The 16809-nt window shown below is 35.7% G+C and overlaps 1 protein-coding gene across 17 annotated transcripts in view, besides 1 other annotated feature; it reads left to right on the top strand.

The window, feature by feature from the left end:
* The window catches only part of OXR1 (oxidation resistance 1), a 482517-nt gene extending 470607 nt beyond the window's left edge, over positions 1 to 11910 (top strand). For all 17 annotated transcript variants that reach the window (NM_018002.3, NM_001198533.2, NM_001198532.1 and 14 more), the window contains 3 exons: positions 1438 to 1533; positions 5005 to 5078; positions 10022 to 11910. In NM_018002.3, coding sequence (NP_060472.2) covers positions 1438 to 1533; positions 5005 to 5078; positions 10022 to 10157 — 306 coding nt within the window. In that variant the 3' untranslated portion in view covers positions 10158 to 11910. The remainder of the gene's footprint in view (positions 1 to 1437; positions 1534 to 5004; positions 5079 to 10021) is intronic.
* Positions 4682 to 4731: an enhancer, noted in NCBI's record as "active region_27803". NCBI's record gives its function as "activates an Ori minimal core promoter by ATAC-STARR-seq in GM12878 lymphoblastoid cells {active_cell/tissue: GM12878}" and the evidence as "EXISTENCE:reporter gene assay evidence [ECO:0000049][PMID:35858748]".
* Positions 11911 to 16809: the final 4899 nt, after the last annotated feature.

A 16809-nucleotide genomic window follows, 5' to 3' on the forward strand; every position in this document is an offset into this window, starting at 1 on the left:
AAGTGAGGAAATAAGAATGAGGTTCATGGGAAAGGTAGAAATTGACAGAATCTTGAATAATGGGTGAAGTTTTGATTAAAGATAATTGTTTGAAGGTGATAGCCAGAACAAAAGCACAAATAAGAGTAATATTGGTTTGTTCTTCAAACAGCAAGTTCAAGTCAGTTGTAATTGGAAACTAATGAGAAGGTAAAATAGCAATATTAGAACAAAACACTGGTATTACTAACACTTTTAGTGTTTTATGTGTCAGGAACTTGACTAATCACTTATGCATTATGTTATTTAATCATGAAAGCCCTATGAGATTGATACTGTTATCTTTATATTAAAGAATGAGTCAACTATGACATAAGCTCATCAACTTGCCCAAGGTTACATACCCAAGAAAAAGTATTTGCACCAATGAAAATGAATGAACTGCTGCTACATGCCATGGCATAAATGAATGTCACAAACATAATATTGAATTAGAAATCAAACACCAGAGAGTAACTTTCTTATGATTTCATTTATAGAAAGTTTTATCAGTGGGCCAAATGAATCTATAGTGGTATTAGGCTAGTAACTCCTTCAGGTAGTTGAGACTATTGATGAGAGGAAGCACAAAGAGAGCTTCTAGAACTAGTAGTGTTCTGTTTCTTGGTCTGAATGAATGTTGCATGGGACTTTGCCATGTGATAGTTCTAAACTGAGCTATGTGTTTATGTTTTGTGTACTTTTCTATAATGTATATGTAAAATAACCTTTCAATAAGGAAATATTTTCAAAATTAAGACTATAAAGATAGAATGTCAGGATAGACAGTGACTGTACAGATTATCTGTCAGACTCTCTGCACTCCCATTTCTGATGTGGAAACTTCAGCCCATAACACTGAAATTACTTGGTCAATCTCTTATTCATCAATTTTCTCATTAGGGTACTGTGTGTCTTGTATAAGATCATGCACAGGGTTAAAGGACAAAACAATTCACACATAACACCTGCCCTCATGGAATTTACTGTATAATGATAAAGAAAAAATATCATATTTTAAAAGTGATAGAATGTTTCCCTATACTGAAGGACTTATTTTATTAAGCACCGCAATCCCATAGCATCATGTTATCCATATCATACATACATTGTACATATAAGTCGTCCTGAAATGTGTTAACCACTTTTTAAGATTGTCTGCTTAATTACTTTAAATAAAATCCCAAAATTTAAAAACTAGGAAAAAATCTGTATTTCCATTGAAAAACCAATATACTTCATATTTGACAATAATGTAAATTATATAGCAGCTAACCATTTTTCCCTTTTTAAGTATGATTAGATTAAACTATACCAGATTTCTATTTTTTGCATTTTATTTAAACATATATGATGAAATAATGCTTACTGGAATAAATTTGTTAGTCGTGTCATTGAATATGCCTTTTTTATCCTTAGGTTTTTGGTGCGTTAGCATCTGAGCCACTGAAAGTGAGTGATGGCTTTTATGGTACTGGAGAGACCTTTGTTTTTACATTCTGTCCGGAGTTTGAGGTAAGAACCACTATTTCAATATTTTATTTATAAAGAGTTGACATAACATACTGCCCAAAGCAATTTATAGATTCAGTGCTATTCCCATTAAACTACCACTGATATTCTTCACAGAATTAGGAAAAACTATTTTAAAGTTCATGTGGAACCCAAAAAGAGCCCAAATAGCCAAGAGAATGCTAAGCATAAAGAACAAAGCTGGAGGCATCACGTTACGTGACTTCAAAGTATACTACAAGGCTACAGTAACCAAAATAGCATGGTACTGGTATAAGAACAGACACATAGACCAATGGAACAGAATAGAGAACTCAGAAATAAGACCTCACACCTGTAACCATCTGATCTTTGACAAACCTGACAAAAATAAGCAATAGGGAAAGGATTCCCTATTTAATAAATTGTGCTGGGAGAACTGGCTAGCTATGTGCAGAAAATTGAAACTGAACCCCTTCCGTAAACCATATACAAACATTAACTCAAGATGGGATAGAGACTTAAATGTACAACCCAAAATTATAAAAACCCTAGAAGAAAATCTAGGCAATACCATTTAGGACATAGATACGGGCAAAGATTTCATGACAACAATGCCAAAAGCAGTTGCAACAGAAGCAAAAATTGGCAAATGGGATCTAATTAAAGAGCTTCTGTACAGCAAAATAAACTATCATCAGAGTGAACAGACAGCCTACAGAATAGGAGAAAATTTTTGCAATCTATCCATCTGACAAAGGTCTAATATCCAGAATCTACAAGGAACTTAAGCAAATTTGCAAGAAAAAAAACACCATTGAAAAGTGGGCAAAGACACTTTTCAAAAGAAGACATACATGTGGCCAAAAAAACCTGTGAAATAAAGCTCAACATCACTGATCATTAGAGAAATGCATATCAAAACCACAATGAGGTACCATCTCACTCCAGTCAGAATGGCTATTATTAAAAAGTCAAATAACAGATGCTGGCAAGGTTGCAGAGAAAAAGGAATGTTTTATTTTGTTGTTGTTGTTGTTGTTTTTGAGGCAGAGTCTTGCTGTGTCGCCCAGGCTGGAGTGCAGTGGCATGATCTCAGCTCAGTGCAGCCTTTGCCTTCCAGGTTCAAGCAATTCTCCTGCCTCAGCCTCCCAAGTAGCTGGGATTACAGGTGTACACACCATGCCTGGCTAATTTTTGTATTTTTAGTAGAGACGGGGTTTTGCCATGTTGGCCAGGCTGGTCTCGAACTCCTGACCTCAGGTGATCCACCCTCCTCGGCCTCCCAGAGTGCTGGGATTACAGGCGTGAGCCACCACGCCCAACTGAAAAAGGAATGTTTTTACCCTGTTGGTGGGAGTGTAAATTAGTTCAACTGTTGTAGAAGACAGTGTGGCAATTCCTCAAAGACCTAGAGGCAGAAATACCACTTGACCCAGCAAATCCCATTACTGGGTATTTACCCAAAGGAATGTAAGTCCTCCTAATATAAAGATACATGCACACAAATGTTCATTGTAGCACTATTCACAATAGCAAAGACATGGAATCAACCTAAATGCCCATCGATGATAGACTGGATAAAGAAAATGTGGTACATATACACCATGGAATACACCATATACACCATGCAAACTAATGCAGGAACAGGAAACTAAACACCACATGTTCTCACTTATAAGAAAGAGCTGAATGATGAGAACACATGGACACATTTCAGGGGAACAACACAGACCTTGTGTCTGTCGCAGGGTGAGGGTGTGGGGAGGGAGAGGAGAGCATCAGAAATAATAGCTAATGGATGCTGGGCTTAATACCTAGTTGATCGGATGATCTGTGCAGCAAACCACTGTGGCACACGTTTACCTGTGTAACAAACCTGTGCATCCTGCACATGTACTCCTGAACTTAAAAGTTAAAGGAAAAAAAAGAGAAAGAGATGGCATAAATGAAAAAACCATGCACTTTGGAGTCATGCAAGTTGCATCTGTCCCCTATCTTTGCCTTTTACTCCCTGGTAACTTTTCTTTGACCATTTTGAACTTCAACTTTCCTGTAGATAGAATGAGGAATCATAAAATATGGCATGATCATTTAATAATTAAATGAGGATCATTTATATATAATACTTGGGATGGCACCAAACACAAATTATGGACTTAGTAAAGAATATACATTATCATTACTATTCTGTTTACAAATTGTCATTGTGAAATTTCCAGAAACATTTAATGACTAAGCTTAATGATGTAAGTCATGAAAGCATAAAAAATAAATTATTTGGATTTAAATAACAAGTTATTGACTGGTTTCTTTTTCTTTACCTGTGTGGCTTTACTGTGGCTTGACTAACACAAATTGAATACATTCTCATGCCAATAAAATCTAAAATGTAAAGGTATAAATGAATTTTAGTGAATGTGTGACTATTCTTAAAACATTGAGTGCAATATTAGTATCTCGGGCACATTGGAGTGTGGCATGTAAAACCTTCATTTTAATCTCAAGAAAAGGAATCAACACCATTGGTTATAAAAATAAATGAAGAAAATAGGAACGATTTGGTAACACAATAAAAATTCTTTTAGCAAATTTGTACTTAACTAGCTCACCAGAATAACCAATGCTTTTCATTCCTTCCATAAAATATGTCAACTGATAGCAACAGCTACTTGAAAGCTTGTAGTTATTACAGATTTTCTAAGCATCAGTGGTGCCTATTCTCAAACTTTTTATGTTACTGCTACCTGATAAGTGTAATAATGTAGTCAATTAAATGTTACATAACTATGAAAAACGAGTGCTAAAAGAAAGTTTTATTGAAAACTGTAATGAACACATTTTAAAAACTTGATAAAAGTAAGTTGCTAGAAATTGCTACTATGTTAGGTTTAGGTAAAACACCCATAAAAGGTTAGAAAAAGATATTTAAGAATATTCATGTCTAGTTTGCTCTTGGATTTCTCAAATGATTTTAAGTTCTCACTGTTTAAAGAAATTGAAACTGAAAATCATAAATACCCATTATGGTCATGGTTTATTTAAGAACTGTGATCAGTAAATATATATGCAAAGAAAAGGCCTTGGCCCTATGTTAAAATATTATCCAATTAACATACATTTCTGTTTAATGGTAAAAGTTAATGGCATTTGTGTCCGATTTTTTTTCAACTCATTTACTTCTTTCTCAATTTTTTCTATTAACCGTCCAACTCTTGGTGTCTGTAGAGTCAGGAGAAAGAAGTATGTGTGAAAAGTTAACAAAATTTTGAGAAATTGGAATTGAAAGTTAAGTGATAGAGTGTGTGCTTTCAAATTTAGTCATATAAACACTGAAACCCAAACCACCAGAGCCTTCTGTGCGGAGCTTTTTGTGGTGTTCTTATTCTTATACTGCCAGTCTTGGCTTTGTTAACTCGTTTGAGTTTTGGAGAACTAACTCTCTATAATAACCATTTCATCTATATATTTAAAGCTTTTTTTAAATTTATATAGGTCTTTAAGTGGACAGGAGATAATATGTTTTTTATCAAAGGAGACATGGATTCACTAGCTTTCGGTGGTGGAGGGTAAGTCTCTTGAACATTTCACTATGAGATTTTTGAAGAACTTTAAAAATGCATTTGGATTATTTATAAATTCAGTTGTCTTTAGAAAGTGTTGACGTTAGAATTCAAATTTGTATATTATGAAAAAGAGAGTATAATGTATTTGCAAGAAGTAGCTCAAGTGTAGTTATTGAAACTATTGATGGAGTATTTGTTTCTTCATTTTAAAATACTGTTCAGTTTATTCACTGTTTATTAAGACCCATCTTTTTCTTTAGAGCACAGTGGCTCTTTGATAATATAAAGGGAAATATCTCAGTACCTTTGAACTTCTCTAATTTTTAAATAACTGTGATGGAATATTTTATTTCTCCCAATGCATAGAACAAGTCCAATTGTTTTCATGTTATTCTACTCTGGAGACCATTTGGAATGATATTTTAGACAATAATGGAAATGGGGTTTTTGCTTGCTTGTTTTTTAACAATTATGAATCAGACAATAATGTGATTATCTTGGCATTGCAAGTACTGTGAGGAGCTTTGTTTTTTATTTGGTATCCCAGCCTCCTTTAATCTTTGCATTGTTGGGAGGTAGGCTGCTCTGGTCCCACCTAGCCTGGGCTTAGCAAGCAACAACTCCTTCCTTTGGTATTTCTGTCTTTCAGTATTAGACATGGGTATGCTAAATAATTTTCAGACTTGTAAAAGTGTTACATTATTTGTATCCCACAGTTGAGGATATATAATGATAATTTATTCAGACCACCAAAGAATATTCATCATCCCAGGTTATTCTATTATTAACAAATTTTCTTACAACTTCTCTGTAAGTAGGTGTTTGGAGGATATAAGTAGGGTGATTAAAAAGTGATCATGGTTATTGTAGCCTTCTCTGTTAGTTTTAGTTGTTGAACTCAGCATGTATTTACATGGTCCAATTATACCTTTTGGGGGGGGTATCATTCAGCCCTCCCCTAAACAGTAGTCTTACATGTGATTCTGTTAGCTCTCCAACAGGTCCACTCAATCTAGTGGCTTATAATTTCAAGATTTTATGGGTGCTTTAAGTCTTCAAAAATGTCATACACAATGCCATTAGATGTCTGCTGGAACTAGATTTTATTGTACAACATGATTTCACCAAGCTAGAGTAACCACTGGGTTATTTGATAATAAATTAATATAAGTTTTCAGTGTTTAAAGGAGAGTACAGCTTCAGAAAGCAGAAACTACAGGGAGTTGATATTCCAGAATTCCAAGGGAAAAGCACCCCAAAAGAAAAATGATGTAGTGGACTTAATGTAGGCTTTGGAGTCCAATAGACATGATTCAGATTCTCACTTCAACATATGCTGTATGTGGTACCTTGAGCAAACTCCTTAACAAATCTAAACTTTCCTTAGCTATAAATTGGAGATTAAACCAGTTTTGTAGAGAGATTATAAGGAATTCACAAGGATATAATTTTTGTGCAAATCCTAGTATAGTATCTGGCATATAGTAAGTACTCAACAACTGATAGCCACCTAAACTGATAGCCACCTTTACTCATTTTCTTTCATCCAACATGATCTGTTCCCTTCTGATACCAGGAAGAATTCTGCCTGCAGTATCATTGGCTGCATGAGCTATAAGACATTAATTAAAGATTTAGAAGACTACTTTTATTCCTTCCACTTCCTTAGCCATTCTCTTTTCAGAAAGTCGTATGAATCATCTTTGAAAGCATTGCTCATATAAAAATACACTTTCTGGCTTTCTGGGTGTTTCACCTGGGACAGATCTGTAACCTCTTAAATACATTTACTTAAATATTTGGATATCACATACCTTTTTGAAATGCTGATGAAATGCAGAGGTACCCATTGTCCTAAAATGAATATACAAATAATCCAATTTTATATGTGATATTAAGAAATTGACAAAAATGTTGAAAGCTTCTACTCAGGGCTTCAGAAAATTCAGGTTACCTTGGAAAAAACTATTCATACTTGGTAATAAAACTTACTGCAGCATCAGTGACATTCATGAATCTTGAAGGTCAATTTTGAGGTACTACTTAGATGCAGTCATCTGAGATTACAACTAGATGTCTTAATCTTTTATTAACCCTTTCATATTTAGCAGAAGGTTTTTATGAGCAAGTCTGACCCTTTCATATTCTCCTTTCTAATAGATTGGCTATGATAGTCTATTCGCGCTTTTAAGGCTCATGGATTCAGATATCTCTTTAAAGGCATGTTGTTGCCAGTAGAGTTAGAGTCTCTAGAAGTCTATTGTCATAAGACCATAAACTTTTTAATTCAAATGCGTTTCTAATTTATCTCTGTATTTTCCAGTGCCAGTGTCTGAAACATGATAAATGCACATTTAAAGTTGAACAAATTAGACAAATATGAATTTCAATTTGAACCTTAACAAATGATGGCTTCCTCATGGGACAGGGGGCATTTTGGGGACGATATAGTTTTGCAGTGCTTCTGTATCACAGACTCTGGATTGTTATGATTTTCAGGGTGTTCTTGTATCTTAGCAAAGTCCCATTTTCATTTATAGAAGAGGTTCATCAGAACGTCATCACTGGTTATCCCATTACAGTTTTTTTGTACTGTCAACTCTCTTCTTGAGTGACACTGGATGATCTCTTTACCTGGTCATTGTGAATTACTATACTGATCTGTCTTTTCTGTTTTGTTGTGAAGTACCAACTCTTTTTTTTTTTTTTTTTTTTTTTTTTTTTTTGAGATGGAGTTTCACTCTTGTCGCCCAGGCTGGAGTGCAATGGCACAATCTTGGCTCACTGTAACCTCTGCCTCCCAAGTTCAAATGATTCCCCTGCCTCAGCCTCCCAAGCAGCTGGAATTACAGGCGCCCACCACCACGCCTAGCTAACTTTTGTATTTTTTATTAGAGACAGGGTTTCGCCATGTTGGCCAGGCAGGTCGCAAACTACTGACCTCAGGGGATCCACCAGCCTCAGCCTCCCAAAGTGCTGGGATTATAGGCGTGAGGCACTGCACCCGGCCCCAACTCTTAAAGGAACCATTCTACATGGTCACTGTAGCCACCTTCTCTACTTAGAAACACATCTCTATACTTAAAATTTGTATATGTAATTAATATACATTATATATTTGATGCTGTTTTTTATTACAGAGTATAAATAAATAGTTCCTTTCTTTTGTTCTAAGATAGTGTTAAAAATAGATCAGTTCCAGGCCAGGCACGGTGGCTCACGCCTGTAATCCCAGCACTTTGGGAGGCTGAGGCGGGTGGATCACAAGGTCAGGAGATCGATACCATCCTGGCTAACACAGTGAAATCCCATCTCTACTAAAAAACAGAAAAAATTAGCCGGGCGTGGTGGCAGGCACCTGTAGTCCCAGCTATTTGGGAGGCTAAGGCAGGAGAATGGCGTGAACCCAGGAGGCGGAGCTTGCAGTGCGCCAAGATCACGCCACTGCACTCCAGCTAGGGTGACAGAGCGAGACTCTGTCTCAAAAAAAAAAAAAAAAATAGGTCAGTTCCTCTCCCACACAAGTCAGTTAACTCTGTAATGCCATGTGACTCCTGATGGCAAGCCTGAAGGTCAGAGGTTATAGCCACCCAAATTATAGAGTTGTGTAAGTCTTTACAATTACCTAATATGCTTTTCTTTTTTGTGTGTTTTAATATAATTGACAAACTCTACCCCAGAGAGGTTAAGTGACTTAACTAAGTTTGACATAAGTTGTGGCCACTGAGTTGACAGACAAGTCTTGATCCCAGACCAGTTTTTTTCTTTCAATGAAATATAACTGCCCATATTTTTTAAAAAAGCCTCCGCCTCCTAAACTCTGGCTCAATTCTGCTGACTTGATATATTACTTTAGATTTAGAGAATCCCAAGGGATAGCTCTCTGGATATTATGTTAATTAATAGTCTTTGCCCCCTCTCCTCTTCTATTAGGTAGGAAAACATTTTCTAGAGAATAGAAAGAAGTCCTCTCATAACCTGGTGTTTTCCCCTCTCGGTTATGTATTAGATAATTAGATAAATTGGACCTTATAATCTATCTGTTAAGTTCCTGTTATACCTAGATTATATCTTGGTTCTTCTGCTTGAATCTCAACATCACATATTTGTCCATTTAAAGTCCTTTCAAACTGAGCTCTTTTGCAAACAGCTTCCTATGCAGGAAACCAGAGTTATTTACTAGGTCCTTAACATGAATCCCCAAATTTTATTTTAGATGATACTGAATTTTTGTGCCTTTGCGAAAGTCATGTTAAATATGTTAAAACCATACCGAAAAGATAAACACACACATACACAAAAAAAAAACCATACTAAAAAAAATACCCAAAGAAAAACTCATAATACCAGGCAAAAAATTACAGCGTAGTACCTGTCTCAAAAGCTAATCCTATATAAAGTTCATTATAGAGGACACTGTTCCTGGTCTGTATCATAAATAATTTTTTTCTTTTCTTTTCTTTTCTTTTTTTTTTTTTTTTTTGAGACAGAGTTTCACTCTTGTCGCGCAGGCTGGAGTGCAATGGTGCAATCTTGGCTCATTGCAACCTCCGCCTCCTGGGTTCAAGTGCTTCTCCTGCCTCTGCCTCCCGAGTAGCTGGGATTACAGGCATGTGCCACCGCGCCTGGCTAATTTTTTTTGTATTTTTTAGTAGAGACAGGGTTTCTCCATGTTGGTCAGGCTGGTCTTGAACTCCCGACCTCAGGTGATCCGCTGGCCTCGGCCTCCCAAAGTGCTGGGATTACAGGCATGAGCCACCACACCCGGCCCATAAATAATTTTTTAATGGAATAGGAGTAAAACAAAATTGTGTCAGTGTGGAAAGGAGTAGGGAAGGATTTGAGAAAATTAATAACTTTAGGGTTGTTAGGTATTCAAAGTCTCATTTAAATTGTTTTATAACTTAAGGCATAAATATTAACAGATTATTATTTATGTATTGCAGAGGAGAATTTGCGCTTTGGCTTGATGGAGATCTCTACCATGGAAGAAGCCATTCTTGTAAAACGTTTGGGAATCGTACACTTTCTAAGAAGGAAGATTTCTTTATCCAAGATATTGAAATCTGGGCTTTTGAATAAATAAAATGCTCTCTGTCTTAGCAGGAGAATGGCCCAAACCTGACATGGACAAGCATTGTTTGGAAAGTTCAAGAAGCAATACAGTGTAACATGTCACTTGTGCTTTAAAATTAGTCTGTATCACCATTTATTACAGTTATAATTTTGGAGTTTATTTTTCAAATCATGTTCTTGTCCCAGAGTTCTTTAGGTTAACACTAGGGACTGCGTCCATGTACTAGTATAACAGCTTGGGTTTGTTAGAATTTGGGCAACATTTTGATTATAATGACAACTTCATTTTCACATGTTACTCAGTTCCCTAATAGGATGGTGCTCTTTTGTTGAACCTGTATTGATTTTTTTTTTTTTAACTATATTGATTCGTTTACTAGAACAGTCTAATTGGGGCATTGAGGAAATGAAGACTGGATACTTCTGTATCTGTGAAGTTGGCACAGGTAACATTTGGACATGTTCATCTTATTCTTAGGAAGGAAAAAATCACTTGCCAAAATAATACATACTTCATAGACCACTGAGTTCTAGTTTTTATTCACACTACAACATTCTCTTTAACGATGTTGCAGGTATTCTCAATTTCCTTTTAAGAAAAATGAAATGTGAGGAGAATTCTGGTTGTAATAGATGACAGTACATATGATCTGCAGGTTTGGGCATATGCTTTCATCATTAAATTATCTGATAAAGTTACAAGTCACAAAGGAGAATGAGAACTTAATGATTCTATTGGATTTAATATATTAGCAAGAAAACATACTATTTACATATGTGTAGCTTAGTAAGGCATTAACATAAGTACAAAAACTATGAAACAGATGCATATTTCCTCAACATACTGTGTCAGGTATACTGTTTTATAATTTGGTTGTTTTAGCCTTATTGCACACCAACTCCCAAAATATAGGTTACTCTTGTTCAAAAGGAAAAAAAAAATTGTGATTTTCTTTGAGTGGTATATGTTATTAATTACCATTAGCATTTGCTCTTATAAAGGGCAATGATTATAGTAGACAATATTGTAACTCAGTAGACTTGTTGAATATGCAAACTTACTGTCAAGTGACCTCAAAAAAAAAATGAAAAGATAGAATACACTAGTAGTTCTTATCCTCTTTTGTAGGAAACCAATAATAGCCATTGTGGCAATAATTCATCAGTTGATTTTAAAGCTTCATGTTATGCAAAAAAGAATCCTGCTGTTATACATGTGACAGTGACTTTGTGCTGAAATTTCAGCTATTCCAGATAAACATTGTATATCTTGTAAATTAATGTTTAAAGGTGTAGTTTTGTTCTTACAGAAAGTGTTGATTGCCAGGTTGCTTATAGCACTTTAAGTTATTCTAAAAATGAAATTATAAGCCAAATATTTGGCTTAAGTAGATTTAGTTGTATAGCACTTACATATTTAGTTCTTTTGAAAGTTTAGATAATTATTTAAAGAAAGCATAATGCTAATGGAAAAGAAAATCTGATGTTCTATTATAATATGCTATTGCTGAATATGAATAGAAATACAGGGCATCATTTCCTTGTCTCATTATAAGTTAGTAACAATATATAGATTAAATGTTTACAATATAGGGAATTGTAAATAAATATATCAGTTTTTTTCCCCTTCGGTCTTCCACAGCAGTATTATTGTCTTTGTGGAGTTGACTAATGATAATTTAAAAATCCTGTAATGGATTTCTACTAAAATAAGGTCATAGTGGCATATACCAAATAAAATCAAATACAGAAATACAAATGAGTTTGGATTTATTGAATACTCATTTTCTTAACAAGTCTTTGATTAAGCCTACTACTATCTTTTTTTTTTTAATGCTTCTAATAGCTTACATTGTGGTGGTGGTGGTCATGGTGTTAGGAGTAATAGTGATAGGAGAATGCATTCAATTAGAGGGAGCATTACATTTTTTAAAATGGAGATGGGAGAAGGCACTTGACACATGGGAAAGTGTAAGTTATTTGATATTTTTAAAGTACATTGTTTTCATTTTGGGTGGAGAATGCATAACAAGCTAAGCCCCTTATCATAAACAGTTATGTGTGTGCAATGCCAAGAAATTTTGATATTTTGTATCCCGTAGGTTCAGTTAACATTTGAGAGGAGGAATGACATGATCAGGTGTATACTTTAGGAAAATATCTGTGAAAAATAGATGAGTAGAAGGAACAACTAGAGACAAGGGGAAAACAAGCCTTTTATAAAGTCCAGAAAAAAAATGATTAGGCCCGAATAAGAACAGTGGTAATGGTAATAAGGAAGCATGGATTTGGAAAGGATTTATGAGTTAGGATGAACAGGAGTTGATTATTGATTGGATGTCAGAAAAAGTTAAAGATAGCTCCCAGGATTTTGATTTAAGAGTTTAGTTGTATTATTTATCAAGATGGGCAAGGTACATAGAGGAAAAACAAAAAAAAGCAGGTGGCAAAATGAAGTTAGTCGTGGACTTTATGAGAGTATGATGTGAGAAACAGGAGAATAAACTTTTTGGGAGTAGGACATTTTATATACTATTCTGAAAGATGAACTTTAAAAGTCAACAAAAAACAATAAAACTCTTTCACTTTTTATATGCAAACAAATATGAAATTTATGTATTACCATTTGTAATACCATTGAAAATATCAGATATATAACAAAGTGAAGACCAAAATAGGAAGGATATACCATATTCATTACTGGCAGACAATATTGATTAAAAGATATCAGTTCTCTTAAATTATATTGACAGTGAAAATCTCACCCAGGCTTATTTTTTGGAAATTAAACTGATTGTAGAGTTTATATGGAAATGTAAAATCAAAGAATAGCTAAGCCATCATGGAAGAATTGAGTGTCTGGTCTTCAGTATCAGATAATCATGATTTATTAGAAAGCTGAGTAAGAAAGACAATATATTGGTCAAAAGTTCAGAAAGAAACTGATTTCTGAAGAAGGTGATACTGCTGTCTGCTCAGTAAAGAAGACAGTCTGTTCAATAAAAGATGGTGGATTAGGCCGGGTGTGGTGGCTCATGCCTGTAATCCCAGCACTTTGGGAGGCCAGGACAGGTGGATCACGAGGTCAGGAGATCGAGACCATCCTGGGTAACACGGTGAAACCCCGTCTGTACTAAAAATACAAAAAACTAACCGGGTGTGGTGGCGAACGCCTGTAGTCCCAGCTACTCGAGAGGCTGAGGCAGGAGAATGGCATGAACCTGGGAGGTGGAGCTTGCAGTGAGCAGAGATCGTGCCACTGCACTCCAGCCTGGGCGACTGAGCAAGACTCCGTCTCAAAAAAAAAAAAAAAAAGATGGTAGATTAATTGGATATCTATATGGAACAAAAAGTCTTATCTCACACCACAAACAATTAGAGATTGAAAAATAATTGTGAAAAGCAAAACAATAAAGACATTAGTTTATATAGGAGAATATCTTCATGACCTTAGGGTAAGCATATATTTCTTTAATGGGACACAAAAAGCACTAAATATAAAGGAAAAAAATAAATTATGCTACATTAAAACTTTAAGCACTTCATCAAAAGACATCATTGAAAGTAAGAAGGTGTCCAATAAGAGTGAAAGCTGTTGTTTTCTCCAACTTTTATTTTTGGTTTGAGGGTACATGTGAAGGTTGGTTTCATAGGTAGACACGTGTCACAGGGGTTTGTTGTACATACTATTTCATCACCCAGGTATTAAGCTTAGTACCCAACAGTTACCTTTTCTGTTACTTGCCATCCTCCCACACCCCCACTCCAGTAGACCATTTTGTCTGTTGTTTCCCTCCATGTGTTCATAAGTTCTCATCATTTGGCTCCTACTTATAAGTGAGAACATGTAGTATTTGGTTTTCTGTTCCTGCATTAGTATGCTAAGGGTAATAGCCTCCAGCTTTATCCGTGTTCCTGCAAAAGACATGATCTCATTCTTTTTATGGCTGCTTAGTATTCCATGGTATATATGTACCACATCTTCTTTATCCAGTCTGTCATTGATGAACATTTAGGTTGATTCCATGTCTTCGCTGTTGTGGATAGCGCTGCAGTGAACGTTCATATGCATGTGTCCTTATGGTAGAAAGATTTATATTTCTCTGGGTATATACCCAGTAATGGGATTGCTATGTTGAGTAGTAGTTCTGCTTTTAGGTCTTTGAAGAATCACCCCGGCTTCCTTACACCATACACAAAGAGCAGCTCAAGATGGATTAAAGACTTAAATGTAAAACCCAAAACTGAAAGCTGTTTTAAAAGGGAATGTAGAGTGGAACAACCTTGGAAAATGTTTCTGGCAGTATCCACTAAAGCTAAGTATACACATGACTTTGACCAGCAAATTTAATTCAGTGATATGTACTGAACAGTAATATGTATATGTGTTTACCAAGAGATGTGCTGGAATGTTTACAGAACTATTTGCTTGCTCTCTTCACTTCCCATCCTCTCTCCTCCTGTACACATACCCACACACCCTACTTATTAATTTACTGCATCTCATTGTTTCACTTTACCTATAAAGATGTGTATGCATTTCCTAAGAACAGAGATGTCCTCCTAAATAGCCAAAGTACAATGATCAGATTCAGGGAATTTAACATTAATACAATAATATGGTCTAATATGTAATTCATTTCAAATTTCTCCAGTGACCCTAATAATATCCTTTCAAGCATTATTTTTCCTGGTTCATGATCCAAAGATCCTGCATTGCATTCAATTGTTCTGCCCTTTTTTTTTTTAATCTCTTTTAACCTGGAAGAGCTCATTATTCATTGCTTCATGACAGTTAGTTGTGTGTTTGAAAAATTTCAGGATTGTAGAATGTGCTTTGATGTGGATTTGTCTGAATTTTTCCTTATGCTTAAATTTTGGTTATGCATTTTTCATAGGAAAACCAAAGAAGTGTTGTCCTCTGCATCAAATCAGGGTGCACATAATGTATGTTTATCCCTTTATTGGTGATATTAGCTTTGATTATTTGATTAGATAGTGTCTACCATGTTTCTCTCCTGCTATCAGTTTTCCTTGTGTAATAAGTAATATGTAGAGAGATGCGTATTTTTAAACTTTTTCATTCCCAACACATTAGTTGCCATTGCCATTTACTACAAGGAAGAGCTTTCCTTTCTCCATCATTTATGAATATGTATTATCAGTATGAACTAATGAATTCTCTTTTTTCTTTTTCTTTTTCTTTTCTTTTCTTTTTTTTTTTTTTTTTTTTTTGAGATGGAGTCTCGCTCTGTCACTCAGGCTGGAGTGCAGTGGCGCGATCTCGGCTCACTGCAAGCTCCGCCTCCCGGGTTCATGCCATTCTCCTGCCTCAGCCTCCCCAGCAGCTGGGACTACAGCGCCCACCACCACGCTCGCTAATTTTTTTTGTATTTTTAGTAGAGACGGGGTTTCACCGTGTTACCCAGGATGGTCTTGATCTCCTGACCTCATGATCTGCCTGCCTCAGCCTCCCAAAGTGCTGGGATTACCGGCGTGAGCCACCATGCCCGGCCGAATTCTCTTTTTTCTAATTCAAAAGGTTACGTAATCAATTTCTATCCTAGACTTAACCAGTCAGAACCCCATCGGTCTTATTTCTATGAGTTTTTCAATTTTCTTGAGCATTTGCTTACTCCTCGTTTAACAAAAATGTTTTAGATTTATTTGTACTTTCTGTAACCCAATCCTAGAATCAGCCATTTCTGAAAGGACCCATATTTCCTTTGCAGGAGAATATTATTTAGAATCAGGGGCACTTGTTGCTACTAGGGTGGTATCACTTTAGGGCCTTTCAGGAGACATCTAAATACAGCATAAATTCACACCAATACCACTCCTTGCAATCTCACATCACAGAGTTCTTGCTTGTCTTCCCTCATTCCATGTTTGTCTCTTCCCCCACAGTCAGGACATCTGTGTATTTACTTGTTTGCTTCATTTTATGATACACACCTTAGAATTTCAGAATTGCCAAACCCATGCCCTCCCAAACACCAAAATTAAGTAGAATTTGACATTTCTTTGTAGTTCTTTTATGTCTTTAGACTGAAAGTATTTATTCAAAAAGTATTGTATTCAAAAGTTGGGTACATTTCTTTTTTCTTCCTGTGTAGTTATTTTAATAAGATAAAATAGAATTCAGTTTATTTGCTTTGTGTCCAATTTTAGTTTTTCTCCTACTTCTATTTGATTTTACTTTATTTCATGCATAATATTTAAGTTCCCAAAAGTCAAAACCTCTAACCCTATAAAGAGGTATACTCTGAATCTCACTCCATCGCCCAGGCTGGAGTGTGGTGGCACAATCTCAGCTCACTGCAAGCTCTGCCTCCCAGGTTCACGCCATTCTCCTGCCTCAGGCTCCCAAGCAGCTGGGACTACAGGCGCCCTCCACCAGGCCCGGCTAATTTTGTTTTTGTATTTTTAGTAGAGACGGGGTTTCACTGTGTTAGCCAGGATGGTCTCGATCTCTTGATCTCGTGATCCGCCTGCCTCAGCCTCCCAAAGTGCTGGGATTACAGGTGTGAGCCACCGTGCCTGGCCCTCTATTTCACTTCTTAAAAGATATTCCTTTTCTTTCATGGCTGCATCTATTTTGTGCATATGCCATACTTGATTTGACCATTTCCTATATGTTTTAGGTTGTTTATAGTAT

The sequence above is a fragment of the Homo sapiens genome, chromosome 8 (genome assembly GCF_000001405.40).
Source record: "Homo sapiens chromosome 8, GRCh38.p14 Primary Assembly".
In the NCBI taxonomy this organism is placed as follows: Eukaryota; Metazoa; Chordata; class Mammalia; order Primates; family Hominidae; genus Homo; species Homo sapiens.